Source organism: Homo sapiens, chromosome 5 (genome assembly GCF_000001405.40).
Source record: "Homo sapiens chromosome 5, GRCh38.p14 Primary Assembly".
Lineage (NCBI taxonomy): Eukaryota > Metazoa > Chordata > Mammalia > Primates > Hominidae > Homo > Homo sapiens.
This window is the reverse complement of record NC_000005.10, coordinates 179565793-179587612: the sequence shown is the minus strand read 5'-3', so window position 1 is coordinate 179587612 and position 21820 is coordinate 179565793. Positions and strand designations below refer to the sequence as shown.

Below are 21820 nucleotides of genomic sequence, written 5' to 3'. Positions count from 1 at the left end.
CTGGCTAACATGGTGAAATGCCATCTCTACTAAAAAAAAAAAAAAAAAAAAAATTTAGCCGGGCGTGGTGGCGGGCGCCTGTAGTCCCAGCTACTCGGGAGGCTGAGGCAGGAGAATGGCGTGAACCCGGGAGGTGGAGCTTGGGAGCTTGCAGTGAGCGGAGATCACGTCACTACTGCACTCCAGCCTGGGAGACAGAGCAAGACTCTGTCTCAAAAAAAAAAAAAAAAGAAAGAAAGAAAAAAGAAAACATAACCGAAGCTGGGCTCAGTGACTCATGTCTGTAATCCTAGCACTTTGGGAGGCCAAGGTGGGTGGGTCACTTTAGCCCAGGAGTTTGAGACCAGCCTGAACAACAAAGTGAGATCCCGTCTCTACAAAGAGTTAAAAAATTAGCCGGGTGTTGGTGGTGTGTACCTGTAGTCCCAGCTACTGGGAGGTTGAGGCAGGAGGGTCTCTTGAGCCCAGAAGTCTGAGGTTACAGTAAGCTATGACTGCGCCACTGCACTCCAGCCTGGGTGACAGAGTGAGACCCTGTCTCAAAAAGCAGAAAAACCCCACATAACTCTGCTTAGTTTCAAAAGCTCAATTGGAGCTTCATCAAAGCACGCCATCTTGACTGAGATGCAGGGAATCTGCTTGTTCTAAAATCAAACAACTCGAGTGCTCCCACGTGGCAAGTGTTGTCCTGAGCACATTTACCAGATATTCGTCTTAATCTTTGCAACAGTAAAGGATGTATTATTACCTAATTTGGAGGTGACAAAAGTGAGGCTCAACCACCGACCTGCCTGACCTGAGGCTCAAAGGCCTGCCTACCAAGGTGACTGTGAAGCCTCCAATCCTAAGTTCCATGAAGCTTCTCCCATGACACCCCCATCTGTGACACCGTCTTGAATTTCCTTCTACTCACACAAATCTGAGCTCCTTTCCTGAAGGCCTTTCAGGGCTGGCGCCTCAGGAGGGAGCAGTCAGCTTTAAGGGAGGCTTACACGGGGTCCCTCATTACAGAGATGGGCTCTGAGGCTCTCTTCTCTGCTGTAACCCACCTCCATGCCGTGGAGGTGTTCCTTCTCAAGCCCCTCTCAGAGCCCTTGTCCTTCTAGGTGGGAGGCCTGGGCAGCCGGGGACTGCTACCTGTGGAAAGCCTCAGAAGGGCTGAGCACCCCCCTCCTGCTAACAGGAGACAAGATGTGTCCAGCAAGGAGACTGCCGGGCAGCTGGCAGCAAGCTCTCTTCCTCGGCTCAGCCCTCCTTTGTCCTGTCCTTTCATTCTCTCTTCCTAGTGAGAAAGCAGAGAAAGACCGCACTGTGGGGAGGCTGGTTGCATGCTCCTGAGGCCAAAGCAGAAGGGGTGGGCTGGATACTTATTCCTTATGACAGAGTCTGTGCTTTCTGGGGCAGCAGGGAGGCACACGGCATCATGGGAAGGGCAGAAAAAGAGGAAGACACGGCACTTCCACAACACAAGCTGGGCTCTTCCAAAGAACAATTTCCTTCTATGGGATGACTTTGAGGTGATAAAATCTAAGTCACTTAGAACTGGCTCGTGATCCGCTGCAGTGTCTCACTGGGAGCCTCGGACAGAGCAGAACACAGACATTCTCCTGTCCCACGTGGGGTAGCTGGAGGCTAGCAAGTCCCCTTCCTACCAGCAGGAAGCTCTGCTATCGCAGACCGACTACACAGATTCTCTTAACCTTGGGTCATTCTGTTTTGTCTAAAAATTTCAATAAAACTTACAAACCTCTTCTTGAAGCTTTGAGTTAGTCTTTTCCAAGCCATCTATCTTGGTTTGAAGATCCCCAACTGTGCAGCTGTAGAAAATAAGAATATTAAGTAAACATAAACTTATACAAGCTGACTGTTTTCTCAATCTGTAAACAGTAAGAGAGATTCCTAGATTTCCTGTATGAAATGGAAAGGCAGAGGGTCTCCAATTAACTCAGAGAAGATGAGAATTCTAAATATACATTTGCAACATACTTTTCAATAAGTTTTGTCCCGAAAATTTAATCTTTCTTTTTTTATTTTGAGGCAAAGTCTCGCTCTGTCGCCCAGACTAGAGTGCAGTGGAGTGATCTTGGCTCACTGCAACCTCTGCCTCCCGGGTTCAAGCGATTTTCCAGCCTCAGCCTCCCGAATAGCCTAGACTACAGGTGCGTGCCACTGCACCTGGCTAATTTTTTTGTATTTTTAGTAGAGACAGGGTTTCACCATGTTGGCCAGGCTGGTCTCGAACTCCTGACCTCAGGTGAGGCTGCCCACCCTGGCCTTCCAAAGTGCTGGGACTACAGGCATGAACCACTGTGCCCGGCCTATTTCTTTTTTAGTCATCTGGAAAGAGAATTTTTTTCTCCCAACACAAATGGTGATAGAAACCAAAATGTGTTGGCAGTCATATACCTAAAGTAAAATTCATTAACAAGGTATTAGTATTTTTGGGTAGAAGGATCCAAGGTGTTTTTTGTTTGTTTGTTTTGAGACAGAGTCTTACTCTTTCGCCTAGTCTGGAGTGCAGTGGCGCGAGCTCAACTCACTGGAACCTCCACCTCCTGGGTTCAGGTGATTCTCCTGCCTCAGCCTCCCAAATAGCTGGGACCACAGGCGCCCGTCAACATGCTCGGCTAATTGTATTTTTAGTAGAGACGGGGTTTCACTGTGTTAGCCAGGATGGTCTCAATCTCCTGACCTCGTGATCTGCCTGCTTCGGCCTCCCAAAGTGCTGGGATCACAGGCGTGAGCCACTGCGCCCGGTCCCAAGGTGTTTTTAAATCCCTTTTACACCTTCCCCATTTAAAAAATATTATTTAATAACATGTACTACTTTTTTTTGTTTTTTTTTGTTTTTGAAACAGGGTCTTGCTCTGTCGCCCAGGCTGGAGTGCAGTGGTGTGATCATGGCTCACTGTAGCCTCAACCTCCAAGGCTCATGATCCTCCCACCTTGGCCTCCCACCTTGCCACCAGGCCCAGCTAATTTTTGTATTTTTTTGTAGAGGTGAGGTTTCACTATGTCACCCAGACTGATCTTGAACTCCTGGGCTCAGGTGATCCTCCTCCTGCCCCAGCCTCCCAAACTGCTGAGATTACTGGCATGAGCTTCCACACCTGGCCTCTAAGCACTTTAAATGCATCAACTCATTTAATCTTCCCCACAATTCAATGAGGTAGATCCTACTGTTAGCCCATTTTACAGACAAGGCAGCCATAATTTTATATAAAAGAATTCACTCAAGTTCACATATCTACAAAGGGGTGCTGGCATCTGAACCCAGGGAATCTGGCTCTAGAGCCTGTACTTCTGGGCAACAGGTCATGCTGCCAAAGACCAGTCCCTGTTGCCAGTGAGTGGGGGACAAAGAAATAAACTTAGCAAGGCTAATGAACCAAGGCTTAGGAACCGGGGGACAAATATAAAAATACAAAGACACAAAATGAAAAAGGGAAAAAAACCAAAAGATACAGAGGGAATGGAAAGTTTTAAGAGTATACAATTGTCAATTCTGTGCCAACTTGATAATTTAGAAAATACCCCCCAATTGTATATTTTTCTTAAAAATATAGGCCTGACGTGGTGGCTCACGCCTGTAATCCCAGCACTTTGGGAGGCCGAGGCGGGCGGATCACAACGTCAGGAGATCGAGACCATCCTGGCTAACACGGTGAAACCCCGTCTCTACTAAAATACAAAAAATTAGCTGGGCATGGTGGTGGGCGCCTGCAATCCCAGCTACTTGGGAGGCTGAGGCAGGAGAATGGCGTGAACCTGGGAGGCGAAGCTTGCAGTGAGCGGAGATCATGCCACTGCACTCCAGCCTGGGCGACAGAGCAGGACTCTGTCTCAAAAAAATAAAATAAAATAAAAAATAAAAATAAATAAAAATATAAATGACTGGCCGGGCACAGTGGCTCAACACCTGCAATCCCAGCACTTTGGGAGGCCGAGGCGGGCGGATCACGTGGTCAGGAGATCGAGACCATCCTGGCTAACACAGTGAAACCCAGTTTCTACTAAAAATACAAAAAATTAGCCAAGTGTGGTGGCAGGTGCCTGTAGTTCCAGCTACTCGAGAGGCTGAGGCAGGAGAATGGCGTGAACCTGGGAGGCGGAGCTTGCAGTGAGCCGAGATCGCGCTACTGCACTCCAGCCTGGGCGACAGAGCAAAACTCCGTCTTAAAATATATATATATATATATATTTATATGAGAAAAGATATATCCTCAAAAGAAAACCCAGATGAACTAAGTAAAAACTGAAAAGCTAGCAACGTATTGCCTCATAAATGCTTTCAGCTTCATAAATTTTTTTTTGAGACAGAGTCTCACTCTGTCACCCAGGCTGGAGTGCAGTGGCGCAATCTCAGCTCACCACAACCTCTGCCTCCCAGGTTCAAGTGATTCTCTTGCCTCAGCCTCGAGCAGCTGGGACTACAGATGCCCGCCACCATGCCGGTTAATTTTTGTATTTTTAGTAGAGATGGGGTTTCACCATGTTGGCCAGGTTGATCTTGAACTCCTGATCTCAGGTAATCCATCTGCCTTGGCCTCCCAAAGTGCTGGGATTACAATCGTGAGCCATCACACCTGGCTGCTTCATATTCACAAGGGGCAAATAATGCCCATGATCTAGAAGCTAGCTGTTCCCAGGCATAAGGAAAAGCTTACTAATTCATTTTGCAATGCTACATAACCCTGATATGATGGCGGAGAAAGAAAACTATAAAATTTCAGCAAGTCAGGTTTATTTTTATTTTTATTTTTATTTTTGAGATGGAGTTTCGCTCTTGTTGCCCAGGCTGGAGTGCAATGGTGCAATCTCGGCTCACTGCAACCTCCGTCTCCCGGGTCCAAGCGATTCTTCTGCCTCAGCCTCTCGAGTAACTGGGATTACAGGCACGCACCACCACGCCTGCCTAATTTTGTATTTTTAGTAGAGATGGGGTTTCCCCATGTTGGTCTCGAACTCCCAACCTCAGGTAATCCACCCACGTCGGCCTCCCAAAGTGTTGGGATTACAGGTGTGAGCCACCACACCCAACCAGGTTACATGTTAAAAGGATAATTGAATTATGAAAACTATGATCCTGGCTGGGCGAGGTGGCTCATGCCTATAACCCAGCAGTTGGGAGGCTAACCAGGGAAGATTGCTTGAGGCCAAGAGTTTGAGACCACCTTGGGCAACAAAGTGAGACCCTGTCTCTACAAAAAATACAAAAAATTAGCCAGGTGTAGTGGTGCATGCCTGTAGTTCCTGCTACTTGGGAGGCTGAGGTGGGCAAATCACCGGAGCCCAGGGAGGTGGAGGCTGCAGTGAGCCACGATTGTACCACAGCACTCCAGCCTGGGTGACAGAGTAAGACCTTGTCTCAAAAAATCATAATAAAAAATATTATGATCAAGTGGAGTTTATTCCTGTGATACAGGAATGGTCCAGTATGAAGAAGTCTATTAATAAAATACACCACATCAGTAGATTATGGGATGAAAACCATGATTACATTAACGGACACTAAAAGGTATTTTCTAAAATTTAATATCTATTTCTTATAAATACTCTCAATAAACTAGTAATCGACCAAAAAACTCTTTCAAAAAATAGCCAACATCACAGTTAAGAAGAGCCTCAGGCTGGGTGTGGTGGCTCATGCCTGTAATTCTAGCACTTTGGGTGGCTAAGGTGGGAGGATTGCTTGAGCCCAGGAGTTTGAGACCAGTCTGGGCAACATGGCGGAGCACTGTCTCTACAAAAAATACAAAAATTAGCCAGGAGGGGTGACGTGTGCTTGTAGTCCCAGCTACTTAGGAGGCTGAGGTGGGAGAATCAATTGCCTGAGCCTGGGAATTCGAGGCTACAGTGATCTGAGATCACGCCACTACACTTCAGCCTGGGCAACAGAGTGAGACCCTGTCAAAAAAAAAAAAAAGAAAAGTAAAAACAGCCCCAGAGCAATGTGTCCGTAACTGCACCGGGAGGAACATGCCAGCTTCTTCACCTGGCTTTTGGGGCCGGAGAGGTGGCCACTGTGGAGAACTGTAATGTGCAATGTACTCTCTAGAGGGGACTCAGAAAGGGAATAACATGTCTCTCCACATTCCCCACAAATACCTCCAAGGATTAGTGTTTCATGAAACACATCCACAGATTTCCAGCAAAAAAAAAAAAAAAAAAAAATCAAGATAAAGATGCCGGTGATCACTAGTACATTGCTCTGGAGGGCCTAGCCCAGTGGTTTTCAACTCTTTTTTCCTGGCCTAATGCACTGGGTGCTGTGTGCTGATTCCCAGCAGCAACAGTGCTTGCCATGAAGGGATTTCCAGCCACGTGGCTGTGGGGCGAGGAATGGAGAGTCAAGGTTTAATGTAGTTACTTCTGTGTATTATGTAACTGCAAAAAGCACAGAATAAAGATTTCCCAAGAGTTTATCAAGAAGAAATCATACTTCTTCAGTTTGTACAAATAAATGTTGCCTGAATGATGACCCTTTTGTCTTGGTTTGGAAACAAGTTATTTATAAATACGTGGCAACTCGAAGTTCCATGAAGCAATGACAGGATACCGAGTATGTAACTGTCACATTGAAAAAAAAAGGAGTCTTACCTCAAGTGCCGGTTAAGTTCTTCCACATAATTTTTTTGATCAAGGACATCAGTAATTCTTTCATGCCTTTTAAAAGGAGCATAAGAAGGAAGAACTTTTTTTTATTAATGGTTAATACTTTGTAACTGTTCCCCAATATTCCAATCACCTTGTAGAAGTACCAATGTCTTCAAGAAACCAAGAGACAGCCAGAGCTCAGTAACATCCACATCCCAGAGTACAGAGAGAAAGCCAGCCTGGGTCACAGTAGTCAGCGTCTCCAGGGCCAGGCTGCCAGGAGAGTGGGCTCCCTGCAGACCAAGGTTTCAGGATGAGCAAGCAAGGTGAAAACACCAACTTGCCACACGCAAATGGCTCGACACAACCCTTATACTACTGAAGGAAAGGAGCGCACGGGACTTTTCAAAACACGAAGCTCATCAGTCTAAAGTCTAGGCCAGTTTGGATTAAAAAAAAAAAACAAAAAAAACTGGCCAGGCGTGGTGGCTCACGCCTGTAATCCCAGCACTTTTGAAGGCCAAGGTGGGCAGATCACGAGGTCAGGAGATGGAGACCATCCTGGCTAACACGGTGAAACCCCGTCTCTACTAAAAATACAAAAAATTAGCCGGGCGTGGTGGCGGGCGCCTGTAGTCCCAGCTCCTCGGGAGGCTGAGGCAGGAGAATGGCGTGAACCCGGGAGGCGGAGCTTGCAGTGAGCCGAGATGGCGCCACTGCACTCCAGCCTGGGCGACAGAGCGAGACTCCGTCTCAAAAAAAAAAAAAAATATACACACACACACACACACACACACACACACACACACGGAATTTTTTGATTTGTTTACAAAAACGGGATATATGTACTCCTCAGCATCATACTTTCCTCATTCAATATAGTATAGTCTCATTCAATATACCAGTAGATACACTTTATTCTTTCTTACGTCTGCAAAATATACCACAGTGTGGAATATTACATATGTTCCATAATTAATTCAATTATTTCCTGACTGGTAGATACTCAGTTTATTTTCAGCTTTTGACATTAAAAGTATATTCTGTGGCTGGGTGTGGTGGCACACACCTGTAATCCCAGCACTTTGGGAGGCCGAGGTGGGCAGATCACCTGAGGCCAAGAGTTTGAGACCAGCCTGGTCAACACGGTGAAACCTCGTCTCTACTAAAAATACACACAAAAAATTAGCTGGGCGTGGTGGCATGCACCTGCAGTCCCAGCGACTCAGGGAGGCTGAGGAGGAGAACTGATTGAACTCGGGAGGCAGAGGTTGCAGTGAGCCAAGATTGTGCCACTGCACTCCAGCCTGGGCGACAGAGGGAGAGATTCCATCTCAAAAAAAAAAAAAAAAAAAAAAGAAGAAGAAAAGGGTATATTTTGTTAGGCCAGGCACAGTGGCTCATGCCTGTAATCCCAGTACTTTGGGAGGCTGAGGCAGATGGATCAGTTGAGGTCAGGAGTTTGAGATCAGCCTGGCCAACATGGCAAAACCCCGTCTCTACTAAAAATACAAAAAATTAGCCAGGTGAGGTGGCGGGCGCCTGTAATCTCAGCTACTTGGGAGGCTGAGGCAGGAGAATTGCTTGAACCTGGGAGGCGGAGGTTGCAGTGCGCTCAGATAGTGCCGCTACACTCCAGCCTGGGCAATAAGAGCGAAACTACAAAACTGTCTCAAAAAAAAAGAAAAAAGAATATATTTTGTTCCTCTGACGTATTTGGCCTGATATGAAATAAAAGAATATATTTTGTTTAAATTTCAAGTGGGTGAGCCCTTGTACTTAGGATGCATGAAGCTTTAGTGTGGTTCTTGCTGGTCCATTCTTTGGTAAGGTGCACTGCCAGGCACTCAGACCGTGAGAGTCCTCAGGAAGACATGGAAGGGCAGGTAACATATGCGCAAGGTGAAATATTCAAACGCGATCCCAAGGTTTACAGTGAAAACCCCCTCCCATGACTGCCTCCACAGGCAATCACTACTATAAGGTTGATACGCCACTCTAGAAATGTTCCATGCATACATATGAAAGTAAAACATATGTATGCATATCCTTTTTTATTATAACATAAATGGGGCCGGGAGCGGTGGCTCACGCCTGTAATCCTAGCACTTTGGGAGGCTGAGGCAGGCGGATCATCTGAGGTTGGAAGTTCGAGATCAGCCTGACCAACATGGAGAAACTCCATCTCCACTAAAAATACAAAATTAGCCAGGCATGGTGGCACATGTCTGTGATCCCAGCTACTCAGGAAGGTTGAGGCAGGAGAATCGCTTGAACCTGGGAGGTGGAGGTTTCGGTGAGCCAAGATCGTGCCACTGCACTCTAGCCTGGTCAACAAGAGCGAAACTCGGTCTCCAAAAACAAACAAACAAACAAACAAACAACATAAATGGTAGTATGTTATACATTGTTTTTTTCCCTTGGGTAACTGATTATAAAAGAATACCCTTGTTAACAAGGGTGAGGGAGAGCTTCATAATGGCATAAAAAGATACTAGACTGGGCGCGGTGGCTCACGCCTGTAATCCCAGCACTTTGGGAGGCCGACGCAGGTGGATCACCTGAGGCCAGGAGTTCAAGACCAGCCTGGCCAATATGGTGAAACCCGGTCTCTACTAAAAATAAAAAAAAAAAATTAGCCAGGCATGATGGGGAACGCCTGTTATCCCTGCTACTCGGGAGGCTGAGGCAGAAGAATCGCTTGAACCGGGGAGGCGGAGGTTGCAGTGAGCCGAGATTGCACCACTGCACTCCAGCCTGGGCGACAGAGCGAGAATCCATCTCAAACAAAACAAAACAAAACAAACAAACAAATCTAAAACACTATGATTACAGAACAAGTCCAAGGGCAACTTATATAATACTATCCCATTTATATTTGACCAATGGTAAAGCAAAATAGACGATCAACAAATACCTGTAAGGCATTAAACAGTCTTCCTTTGAGGGGAGGAATGAGATTGACATGGAGGCAAGGGGACAGTGTGAATGGGGAAATTTCACCTGTACACTCTATTCTTCTGCAGAGCCAAATTCCTTAAACAATGAGAATAATGCACTGCTTCTGTATTTAAAAATAACTAAACAAAACAGAAAATCTCAAAGCAAAAACAAGAAAAGTGTTCTTTGCCAGAATTTTTTTTTTTTTTTTTTTTTGCTGCAGAGAAGAGCCTCATTACCCGTTCGGCAGGCGGGGGACACCACCCGATGTGCGCACATCCAACTCCGGCGCTCCCACCGCCTCCGCCGCCCGACCACCGGTGAGTGTGAAAGGAGCGGACACACCTAACCTGCCCTGCCCACACCACCGGGCCCAATCACACAGTCCAACCCGGATTTGCTCTTTCGGCTGAAACTCCCCACCCCCGCCCTCCCCTCCAGCCCCGGATTTGCTCTTTCGGCCGAAACTCCCCACCCCCGCCCTCCCCTCCAGCCCCACCACGCCCGGCCTCGGAGCCTCCGCTAGTCTTCGGCAATTTCCGTCCGGAGACCCGGCCCTCCGCTAGCCCCAAAGACCCGCCTTTGCCAGAATTTTATTAAAAATGTGACGTGGCTGGGCGCGGTGGGTCACGCCTGTAATCCCAGCACTTTGGGAGGCCGAGACGGGCCGATCACGGTCAGGAGTTCGAGATCAGCCTGGCCAATATGGTGAAACCCCGTCTCTAAAAACACAAAAATTAGCTGGGCATGGTGGGGCGCACCTGTAGTCCCAGCTACTCAGGAGGCTGAGGCAGAAGAATCGCTTGAACCCGGGAGGCGGAGGTTGCAGTGAGCCAAGACTGTGCCACTGGACTCCAGCCTGGGCGACAAAGCCAGATTCTGTCTCAAAAAAAAAAAAAAAAAAAAAAAAAAAAAAGTGACATACAACGCAGTACTTACTCCTTGCCACCATCAAGATCCTGCACATCCTTAAGGTAGAGGGAAAAATCTATTACTCCAACCTAAACGAAATAAAATGCACAAGTTTAAATAAAATGTCCTATTTTTCATAAACTTTACAACCTTTGAAATTCAGGTATTTCATTCTTATCTCTTTCCTATGAACATTTATTTAGGTCAGCCAGCTCTATGAAGTGGAAATCAATTGAACAAACCAAAAAAACCTAACCCTACCACCTTCTAGAAGAAAAACTTACTAGATATCAGATTTCAGAGACTATTCTGAAATTTCACGACCTAGTTTAGTTTTCTGTTTATTCAATAATCACATTATTTACAAAGATCAACAAAATTATTTGTGTACAAAGTAATTAATAATAATAATAAAAAGTTCTGGATCTCTAAAGTGGTGACCTGGCCAGGCGTGGTGGCTCACGCCTGTAATCCCAGCACTTTGGGAGGCCGAGGCTGGTGGATTGCCTGAGGTCAGGAGTTCGAAACCAGCCTGGCCAGCATGGTGAAACCCTGTCTCTACTAAAAACACAAAAATTAGCCAGGCATGGTGGCAGGTGCCTGTAATCCCAGCTAATCGGGAAGCTGAGGCAGGAGAATCGCTTGAACCTGGGAGGCGGAAGTTGCAGTGAGCTGAGATCGTGCCATTGCACTCCAACCTGGGCAACAGAGCGAGACTTCATCTCAAAATAAAATAAAATAAGATAAAAATAAAGTGGTGACCTTAACTGACATTTCTGAGTCCTTCTTCCCCCAAATCTTGGTAAAATGGTCTAATCAATATTTCAGGAAAATTCTCTATCCCTTAGGTACAAGGGAGAACCAAGACCCCTTACACATCTAAACATCAACGGCTTTGCCAAGAAATAAAGCACTTGAGAATGAATAAGTGAGGTCATTCTTATCTGAAATACAGGAAAACTGGGTGTACCCTAAATGTTCATCAATAGAGAAAAGTTGAAATCAATCATGTTACAGCCATATCACAGAACCTATGCAACTATAACAAAGAACGCAGTAGATACATTTGCAGAAATATAGAAAAGCTGGGCACGGTGGCTCATGCCTGTAATCTCAGCACTTTGGGAGTCTCAGGAGGGTGGATGGCTTGGGCTCAGGAGTTCAAGACCAGCCTGGGCAACACAGTGAGACCCTGTGTCCACAAAAATACAAACATTAGCTGGGTGCAGTGGTACATGCCTGTAGTCCCAGCTACTTGGGAGGCTGAGGTGAGAGGATTGCTTGAGCCCAGGAGGTTAAGGCTGCAGTGAGCTGAGATCATGCCACTGCACTCCAGCCTGGGTGACAGAGTCAGACACTGCCAAAACAAAACAAAAAAAACAACAAAACTCCAGGATACAATTTCAAGTCAAAGAATCATATGTACAATCTCATTATAGTAACCCTACTTATGTTGCAACCAAGGCTATGTGTAACGGTTCTAACACATGTCTGCAACCTCTCTGACACACCTACCAAAAGGAATCCATCCATATTTCCAACCTTCAACTCTGGGGGGTCTTAGTGCCTGTCTCGATGAGTAAAATGCAGTAGAAATGATGCCGTGTGACTTCTGCAGCTAGGTTAAAAAGGGCAATACAGCTTCCACCCAGCTCTTTCTCTTGAGGCATATGCGTTTGAAGTTCTGAGCTTTCATGTAAAAAGTCTTGACTTCCCTGAAGCCACAATGCTGGAGACCATGTAAACATGGAGATGTCCAAGAAACCCCTGCCATTCCAGCCCCCAGTTCCTTGGTCTTCTCAGCACAGCAGACAGACGAGGAGAGAGCAAGTCTTCAGGTGATTTCAGCCCCAGCCATCACCTGACTGTAAGCACGTGCGCTCTTGAACAAGAACCGACTAGCTGAACCCAGTTAGCCCCCAGCTGTGAAAGATACAGTGATTGTTATTGTTTAAGTGCTGTTGCTGACTTGTTACACAGTAATAGAAGACCAGAAAATATTTAATTTAAAACAAAACCTACGTGAACATAAATGTATAGAAAAAGTAGAAAAGCTTCTAGAAAAATTTTCCCCAGAATCTTTACCATCACCTGTGGGAAAGGGAGGAGGACTGCGGCTGGGGCGGGGGGTGGGGTGAGAAGAGGAGGTTCAACTTCTCTTTTCACATTATATACTTTGGTATTGCCTAACTTTTTTCAACAAGCAAGCATTTCTTTTATAATAAAAAACCAAATCATAAAAAAATACAGCCAGGAAAAAGCAACAGAAAGATGAGAAAGAATTAATACCCAAAGCAAAAATCAATGGATTAGAAAGCAAATAAAGCCCTACTCCCAAAGTAGAATTGATAAATAAGACAGCTGGTTTGTCAAAGTTCAACCAAGTAGACAAATTTCTACTAAGTGTGATCAATATTTAGCAAATACACATTATAAATGAGAACAGTGAGATTTTTCAAAAGCTGTAAGAGAATACTTTCATACAACTCTAGCTTAGTAGAGCTGAATGAAATGGTTTCTAAAAAAATTATAAATGACTTTAAAAATTGTCTTAAGACTTAGGAAACCAATAAATTGATCAAAACTATGCTAAAAGTTAAAGTGGTCAAAGAACAAAGACCAAAAAAGGCATAAGGGTGAAGTGGTCATACCAGTAAGTTCTAGCAAGCCTGCACAGAAAAAATAATTCCTGATCTAATAAGCTGCGGTAGAAAACAAGAAAAGGAAGGCTATTTTCCAGTTTATTTTATTTTTATGTTTATTTTTTTTGAGACGGAGTTTTGCTCTGTTGCCCAGAGTGGAGTGCAGTGGCACGGTCTCAGCTCACTGCAGCCTCTGCCTCCCAGGTTCCAGCGATTCTCCTGCCTCAGCCTCCTGGGTAACCGGGATTACAGGCACACGCCACCACGCCCAGCTAATTGTTGTATTTTTGGTAGAGACCAGGTTTCACCATGTTGGTCAGGGCGGTCTCAACCTCCTGACCTCATGATCTGTCCACTTCGGCCTCCCAAAGTGCTGGGAGTGTGAGCCACCACGCCCGGCCTTCCAGTTTATGAGGCTAATACAATTCTGACACGGAAAGGTGGCAAAGGCAGTATAGAAAATTCAGAATAGTTTCACTTACAAGCAGAGACACAAAAATTCCAAACAGTAAACATATCAAATCCAGGGTTTACAATGATCAGGTAGGGATTATTTTAGAAATTCAGGGATAGTATTCAATAAGAAACCTATGAATTAGTTCAATTATATTTATGGGTTAAAAGCAGGTTGACATGTTGATAGATCCAAAAAAAGTATCTGACAACATTCAACATTCATCTCTTAAAAAATCACAAAGTAGGCCGGGCACGGTGGCTCACGCCTGTAATCCCAGCACTTTGGGAGGCCAAAGTGGGCAGATCACGATGTCAGGAGTTCAAGACCAGCCTGGCCAACATAGTGAAACCCCATCTCTACTAAAAATACAAAAAATTAGCCGGGCATGGTGGCAGGCACCTGCAATCCCAACTACTCAGGAGGCTGAGGCAGGAGAATCACTTGAACCCAGGAGGCGGAGGTTGCAGTGAGTGGAGATTATGCCACTGCACTTCAACCTGGGCGACAGAGTAAGACTCCATCTCAAAAAAAAGAAAAAAACAAAACGACAACAACAACAAAACACAAGGTAAACTGGAGTGGAAAGCACTCTCTAAACGTGAGAAACCGCATCCCTCAGACATCAGCAGCAAACATGTATACTTTATGTATACTATTATGTATATGATTATGTATACTATAGTGTGTTTGAAGAACACACTATAGGCACTGCCATTCAAGATAGCACTAGACCAGATTGCTCACTCATGTCTATTAATTAATTAAAATCTCAATGGAGTTTTTATTCTGGAATTTGACAAAACGATGTTCAAGTTCATCTGGCAGAATGGATGGCCCAGAAATATTTGAAACAGAAGTACAGCAGAGTAGGCAGGCGCTTAACTACCAGAGTCTAGAATATACTATCTGGCTCCAGTCATTAAAAGAATGTGTCACTGGCATAGGAACACAGATTCAGATTTACAACAGAAGAGTCCAGAAATAAACCAATGCATATTATGGATATTTCACATATGATAAAAGTGGAATTTCAAATTAGTAGAAAAAATATATTACATGATGATATTGCAAAAACTGGTTAACTATTTGTAAAAGAAATTTAGATTCCTACTTCACACTATGCCAAAACAAATGGCAAAAATGTGTAAAATTTACACATTTTTTACACATAAAGTGTGTAAAAAATTACCCAGGTAGAAGCAGAAGGTCTTGGCCTGGCCCTCCAGGGTCCCAGACTGTGGAGATTGGAGGGGCAGGTCTGGCCTTTCCTGGGTTAGCACAGGGTACCCAGTAGGGGCACAAGCTCACTATCCATCGGCCAGCCTAGTTGTGTTTGAAGAAGTATTCCTTGTCATCCACATTGGGCTTCATTGTCGCTACCAGGCTTCCAGCCAGTGGGACAAACTTTCCCGTGCTCATCTGCGTACTGGAATGCCTGGACCAGCTGCAGAGCCTCATCCATGGAGCACCCCAGAGGCAAATCATTAACAGTGATCTGGCAAAAGTCACCCTTGCCATCGATGATAAAGAGGCAGGGTAGGCAATGCCCTCATTGGTTTTCAGCACACAGTAATCTTCAGACAAGCTTCCCGTCACATCAGCGGGTGGGGGATGCTCGGGGGCCTAAGCCTCCCTACTTCTGGGGGTTGTTGATCCAAGCCAGGTGGGTGAACTAAGTCCACCCAGACACCCAGCACTTCGCAGCCCAGCTTGCGGAAATCCTCGGCATGGTCGCTGAATGCGACGTTCTCCATGGGCCACAGAAAAGTGAAGTCCAGAGGGTAGAAAAAGAGGACGACGTACTTCCCTTTGTAGCCCACAGCTTCACCTCCTGGAAGGCGCCATCCACCAGGGCAATGGCCTTGAAGTCAGGGGCTGGCTTTCCGAGCTGCGACTGACTGGAAGCCATGACTGAAAGCTGTGGCGGTAAAGGCTGGACAGACTGACAACCAGACGCGTGGACTCAGGTTCCAGCTCCCCACATTTGATATTAAAAGTTAGGGTAATGTTTAGATAGGGAAGGACCTTCAAAGCACAATACCTTAGAAGGTATAAAGGAAACATCTGCTAAATCTGGTTGCCAAAAACTAAAAATAAAAAACTTACAGGGCAAACCACCACTGAGAAACCAGAAAAAAAATTTATAACAAATAATTCTGAAAAAGGGTCAATGTGCTTAGTCTTTAATAAAGAAGTAGAGAAAGAAAACTCAAAAATGGACAAAGAATATGAAAAGATAATCACAAATGCTGAACCACCAATGGCAAATAAAACAGGAAAATACTTGTAAATTTGAGATAATGAGTTGTTTTGTCCATGAGGCTGAAAAAGACTGAGAATGCTCATCACATCCAGTGTCAGGAGGAAATGTGTTCTCTCCCACACTGCTGGTGGGTGTATATAATGAAGACCTTTCTGGAGGTCCGTTTTATGTTATCTAGCAAAATGTAGCCTGTATACTTTGACACAACAACCCCAAATTTATCCTAAGGAAATACACGGACAAGAGTACAGAGAACTTCAAGGATGTCTATAATATTGGTGTTTTTTTTTTTTTTTTCCAGACAGAGTCTGGCTCTGTTGCCCAGACTGGAGTGCAATGCAGTGGCATGATTAGAGCTCACTGCAGCCTTGATCTCCCAGGCTCAAGCAATCCTCCCACCTCAGCCTCCAGAGTAGCTGGGATGACAGACAGCATGCCACCATGCTCGGCTAATTTTTTTAAATTTTTGGTAGAGACAAGGTCTCACTATTTTGCCCGGGCTGGTCTCAAATTCCTGGGCTCCAGTGATCCTCCTACCTTGGCCTCCCAAAGTGTTGGAATTACAGGCGTGAGCCATGTGCCCAGCAATAGTATTGTCACAATATGGAAACAATCTAAATTAATAAGGTACTGGTTACATAATTGTACGTTAAAAAATGAAATACTACATAGTCATTTTAAATGGTTTATATCTCTCGTTATTGAGAACTGTGTGGAACATATTGTTAAATTTTTTAAAATTACAAAATGGTGTGCTTAAAATAATCATAGTTTGGTTTCATAAAAAAAGAAACCCTTCGAACATCTCACTCTAAAATACACAAACATATACACACACACATGCATGCACACACCTTTATTCATCTGCTAGAAGGGTGTATACCAGAATGTAACACTGAATTATCGGTCTAAGAGTAATGAGAATATGTGTGATGTTTAGTGTCTTTTCAAAAATACTTCTCTGAATTCAAAAAAAGATATTTTTCAACATGCAAAGACAATCGAACTTTTTTTTTTTTTAAAGGGAGGAGAGGTTATAAAAAAACACTGACCTGCACATGGAGGGATCAGGGAATCTTTAGATTCACCAAACACAATGCAGGAAAAAGGCTGGGAATTTTGCTAGGTAGTGTAAAATAATCTCTTTTTTCTGGGCAGTGGCCCAGCTACAGCTGCGGATGCCCCGAAGAGGGGGTGGAAGTGAGGAATGGGTTAGGGTACCTATTCCCCTCACACATTTACAGTCCCTGCCACCAGGAGTTTAGGCCTTGGCTCTGGTCACCAGCTCCTATGCAGGAAGAAAGCCCATCCCAAGAGGGCTGTCCTTCCCACAGAGCACTCTACACCTTACTGGTTACTCTCCTTTGTGCCATTTTATCAACCTGACTTCCCAAATCTCTCCTGACTCTATCTTCCTACTCCCCATCCAGGCTTGCAGGACTTCTAGACTAGTCTCCTCAAGGCTTTTGCTGTATCTATTCTTGGCCACTTCCAACTCATAACCTGAATGGCTGCTAGATTGAGCTTTCTCAAATCCAGGCATGATCATTTCAGTGTACTTTTTAAAAACCTCCAACAGCTCCCCAAAGCTCAGGATAAAAGGGGATAAAAGCTATACCCTTCAGGCAAGGCACAGTGGCTCACACCTGTAATCCCAGCACTTTGGGAGGCCGAGGCGGGTGGATCACGAGGTCAGGAGATTGAGACCATCCTGGCTAACATGGTGAAACACCATCTCTACTAAAAAAAAAAAATACAGGCCGGGCGCAGTGGCTCACGCCTGTAATCCCAGCACTTTGGGAGGCCGAGGTGGGCGGATCACGAGGTCAGGAGATCGAAACCATCCTGGCTAACACGGTGAAACCCCGTCTCTATTAAAAATACAAAAAATTAGCTGGGCGTGGTGGCGGGCACCTGTGGTCCCAGCTACTCGGGAGGCTGAGGCAGGAGAATGGTGTGAACCCGGGAGGCGGAGGTTGCAGGGAGCCGAGATCGCGCCACTGCACTCCAGCCTGGGAGACACAACGAGACTCCGTCTCAAAAAAAACAACAACAAAAAAGCTACACCCTTCAGCATAGCACCAATGGCCTAACTATCAGGCCCAGCCTCCACTTTCACCTCGCCCACAGAGCATCCTCTACTCCAGCCATGGAGAGCTGTCTGCCTGTTCCCAAACCTGCCAAGCTTTCCGTGTGTACCTCTGGCTATGCAACTTCTTCACCCTTCCGAGACCTTCCCCAGCTGCATCCCTGGGGTCCTCTACCAGTGGGCTCTTTGCCATTTGCCCTTCTTTGGGTTCAGTACCTGTTTGCAGATCCTATGTAAAGTCCCTGGACTAACGAAAGTGTTCATCTAGAGCCAAAATTTCATTTTACCTGAGAATCCAAGTCTTCTCCTTTCAAGCAGAGATTGGCATCGAGAACATTGAGTCCCACCAGCAGACCAACAATCACCATCCCTTCTTCCTCCATCATTAAAGCCTCAGGCTCATAGAACTCGCTGAAAGAGATGGACAGGACAGGGCGATGCTCAGAAACAGCTTCACCATCCCCACTCCTTCCCCACCCTGAACTGCCTTTTCACCTGTGCCCTGGAGCCAGAAGATACTGCTGTGGATTTCCTCCCTCCCTTTCATTTCTCTTCACTGCTTCAACGGCTGCTTTTTCTCCCGTCCTCTCCTCTCTTCCTGTGGCTTAGAATGGGCTCGCCTCTCCTCCTGTCTAAAGTTAACTCCTCCATGCAGACCCTGGACCCCAGTTCTCCTCGTCTCCTCTTGACTCCTGTCACTCTCCCCTCCTGTGTCTCCACTGGCTCCTGTTCTGTGTTGATATGAATTACTTCTCCACTTATGCTGATATAAACAGGAAATGGGATCCCACATCCAAGAATAACACTCCTCCTTCTTGCGTCCCACGGAGCAACATCTGTTGCTTTACTTCCTTTATTGCCCAGTTATCGCGGCCATTTGCAGGGGGTGGTCCATCCCCTGCCTGATATTGCTCTGGTCAGCAATGACTTGCTAATGTACCAAATCCAGTGGCATCCAGGCCACTGTGTGTGTGTGCGTATAAGACTTTTCTCTTAAGAATTAGTTCATTAGTAAAGTGAGGGATATGGTAATTACCCTGATTTCATCATTACATAGTGTATACATGCATAGTATCCCATAAATATGTATAATTTTGTATCGATTATAAATAAAAAATTGAAAAATACTTTGTTCATTAGAAGAAAATCTGTAACTCAAAGTTACTCAGTGTAACTACTCAGAGTATGTGAAATATTGTAAATCAGTATTTGTCGTGTAAAGATATGTTCGACAATGAGCCATGACTTGAAAACACTGAAAGGCTTGGGTTTTAGGCTATGCTGTAAAATGTATCTATTTCTCAATTACAAGAAAGCTTTAACTCTGGAAAGAGTCCTTCCTCGTAAATCATCACAGTCTAGAGAACATTCCTTTTATAATGATTATTGCTTACTTATAAATATAAAAAATGAACCAGTCATAAATTTCTGTAAATATTATATACTTATTTTTTTATTTTTTATTTTGAGACAGAGTCTTGCTCTGTTGCCCAGGCTGGAGGTACAGTGGTGTGATCTTGGCTCACTGCAACCTCTGCTTTCCTGGGTTCAAGCAATCCTCCTGCCTCAGCGTCCTGAGTAGCTGGGATTATAGGCATATGCCACCATGCCCAGCTAATTTAGTATTTTTAGCAGAGATGGGGTTTTACCATGTTGTCCAGGTTGTTTTTGAACTTCTGACCTCAAGTGATCAGCCTGCCTTGGCCTCCCAAAGTGCTGGGATTACAGGCATGAGCCACCACACCTGGCTGATACACTTATTTTAATTCAAAATGATCTACAGAACTATGTTCTAATTATTATTTTTTTGAGAAGGAGTCTCACTCTGTCGCCCAGGCTGGAGTGCAGTGGCGTGATCTCGGCTCACTGCAACCTCCGCCTCGCGGGTTCGAGCGATTCTCCTGCCTCAGCCTTCTGAGTAGCTGGGATTACAGGCACCTGCCACCACACCTGGCTAATTTTCGTATTTTTAGTCTCTACTAAAAATACGACACCATGTTGGCCAGGCTGGTCTTGAACTCCGGACCTCAAGCAATCCACCTGATCTTGGCCTCCCAAAGTGCTGGGATTACAGGTGTGAGCCACCGCACCCAGCCTATGTTCTAATTATTTACCAAGCAAAAGATAAGCAAACATGGTTGATGAAATACCTTAAGAGATGTTTATTGTCTATAAGCACTTTCAGATAATCTGCCAGTTTCTTTTGCATGAGTGCAAGATAAAGCCACGCTCGGCCTCTTCCCACAGCTGTCCTAGAATTCAAACAGAGAATCAACTATTGTGGCATAACAACAACAAACACAGAAAAGACACCTGATTTAGCCAGGGAGACACATAGGAAACACACCCTTGTAAATGCAGACGATACTCTAAGAATGGCTGTTTGGGGTTGGGGAGGGATGCACATGGCCTGGGCAGGCAGCGAAAATGGCTCACCACATACCTTTGAGTACTATTACAAATACAATTAGATAATGCTTTGCTTATAGTCATAAAATATCACAGGAAAATATCAGGTTAGATTTGTGTAATGGATAAACATTCCTTCAAAAGACGAATAGAGAACTTAGTGCTTGTTAAAGTGCTGAAGCTTATAAAATCTCTAAGGGGTTAGGGTTAGCTCAAACGTACTTTTTATTTTTTATTTTTTATTTTTTTTTGAGATAGAGTCTTGCCTGTTGCCCAGGCTGGAGTGCAGTGGTGCAATCTCAGCTCATTGCAACCTCCGCCTCCTGGGTTCAAGCGATTCTCATGGCTCAGCCTCCTGAGTAGCTGGGATTACAGGCATGCATCACCACACCTGGCTAATTTTTGTTTTTAGTAGAGACAGGGTTTTGCCATGTTAGCCAAGCTGGTCTCAAATTCCTGGCCTCAAGTGATCAGGCTGCCTTGGCCTCGCAAAGTGCTGGGATTACAGGCATGAGCCACTGCACCTGGCCTTAAAGGTATAATTTTATGTTTTATTATTAATTGTGGTAAGATACACAGAACATAAAATTTACCATGTTAACCATTTTTAATCTTACAGTTAAGTAGTGTTAAGTACATTCACAATGTTGTGGAACCAATCTTTTTTTTTTTTTTTTTCGAGATGGAGCCTCACTCTGTCACCCAGGTTAGAGTGCAGTGGCACAATCTTGGCTCACCGTTGTGATCTTGGCTCACTGCATCCTCCACCTCGCAGGTTCAAGTGATTCTCCTGCCTCAGCCTCCCGAGTAGCTGGGATTACAGGCACCTGCCACCACGCCCAGCTAATTTTTGTATTTTTAGTAGAGATGGGGTTTCCACCATGTTGGCCAGGCTAGTCTCAAACTCTTGACCTCAAGTAATCCACCCACCTTGGCCTCCTAAAGTGCTGGGATTACAGGCCTGGCCCCAATCTTGAAGGTGTAATTTTTCTGTATTCTAGCATTATCTCCAGAGAAGCAGAAAAGAAAGAAAAGAAGAGAAAAGAAAAGAAAAAAGGAAAAGGAAAGAAAGAAAGAACAGGCCTGCATTAAACATTAAAAGAAAAAAGGCCTCTCAAGTGCTGCTTGGTGAGACTGTAAACTTCACAACTTTCTTTTTTTTTTTGGAGACAGGGTCTTGCTCAGTCGCCCATGCTGTTGAATGGCATGATGATGGCTCCCTGCAGCCTGGAACTCCCAGGCTCAAGTGATAACCCTGCGTTAAGCCTCCGGAGTAGCTGGGACAGCAGGCACGTGCTACCACACCCAACTAATTTTTTTTTTTTGTAGAGATGGGGTTTTGCCACATTGTCCAGGCTGGTTTCAAACTCCTGGGCTCAAGCATTCTTCCCATCTCAGCCTCTCAAAGTGTTGGGATTATAGGCGTGAGCTGCTGTGCCTGGCCAACTGTGCAACTTTCTAGTGGCAATTTGATGACAACAGGTTACCAAAATTCTACATTTAGTAATATA

General features: G+C 45.1%; 1 protein-coding gene, 1 long non-coding RNA gene and 1 pseudogene across 18 annotated transcripts in view, besides 2 other annotated features; all 3 read right to left on the bottom strand.

Annotated features, from left to right (window-relative positions):
- The window catches only part of LOC128966623 (uncharacterized), a 130785-nt gene that overhangs the window by 65629 nt on the left and 43336 nt on the right, over positions 1-21820 (bottom strand).
- The window catches only part of RUFY1 (RUN and FYVE domain containing 1), a 59459-nt gene that overhangs the window by 22400 nt on the left and 15239 nt on the right, over positions 1-21820 (bottom strand). For 8 of the 17 annotated variants that reach the window (XR_245276.4, XR_245277.4, XR_007058642.1 and 5 more), the window contains 5 exons: positions 20051-20152; positions 18188-18311; positions 10477-10538; positions 6601-6666; positions 1748-1817 (listed from right to left, as the gene is read on the bottom strand). Coding sequence is in view for 12 of the 17 variants with exons in the window: in NM_025158.5 (NP_079434.3) it covers positions 1748-1817; positions 6601-6666; positions 10477-10538; positions 18188-18311; positions 20051-20152 (424 nt within the window). In the remaining 5 variants the exon portion in view is untranslated. Of the gene's footprint in view, positions 1-1049; positions 1285-1747; positions 1818-6600; positions 6667-10476; positions 10539-11964; positions 12289-18187; positions 18312-18395; positions 18634-20050; positions 20153-21820 lie in introns of those variants that run through there. The other 9 variants (XR_007058643.1, XM_006714921.4, XM_017009891.2 and 6 more) reach the window with 7 other exon arrangements.
- Positions 10041-11240: an enhancer, noted in NCBI's record as "CDK7 strongly-dependent group 2 enhancer chr5:179003374-179004573 (GRCh37/hg19 assembly coordinates)". NCBI's record gives its function as "activates an origin of replication core promoter dependent on BRD2, BRD4, P300/CBP, MED14 and CDK7 cofactors, with strong dependence on CDK7, by STARR-seq in HCT116 cells {active_cell/tissue: HCT116}" and the evidence as "EXISTENCE:reporter gene assay evidence [ECO:0000049][PMID:35650434]".
- Positions 14740-15526, bottom strand: PRDX2P3 (peroxiredoxin 2 pseudogene 3; annotated as a pseudogene).
- Positions 15234-15734: an enhancer, noted in NCBI's record as "H3K4me1 hESC enhancer chr5:178998880-178999380 (GRCh37/hg19 assembly coordinates)". NCBI's record gives its function as "activates a minimal SCP1, AML or CMV promoter by ChIP-STARR-seq in naive H9 embryonic stem cells {active_cell/tissue: H9 hESC(naive)}" and the evidence as "EXISTENCE:reporter gene assay evidence [ECO:0000049][PMID:30033119]".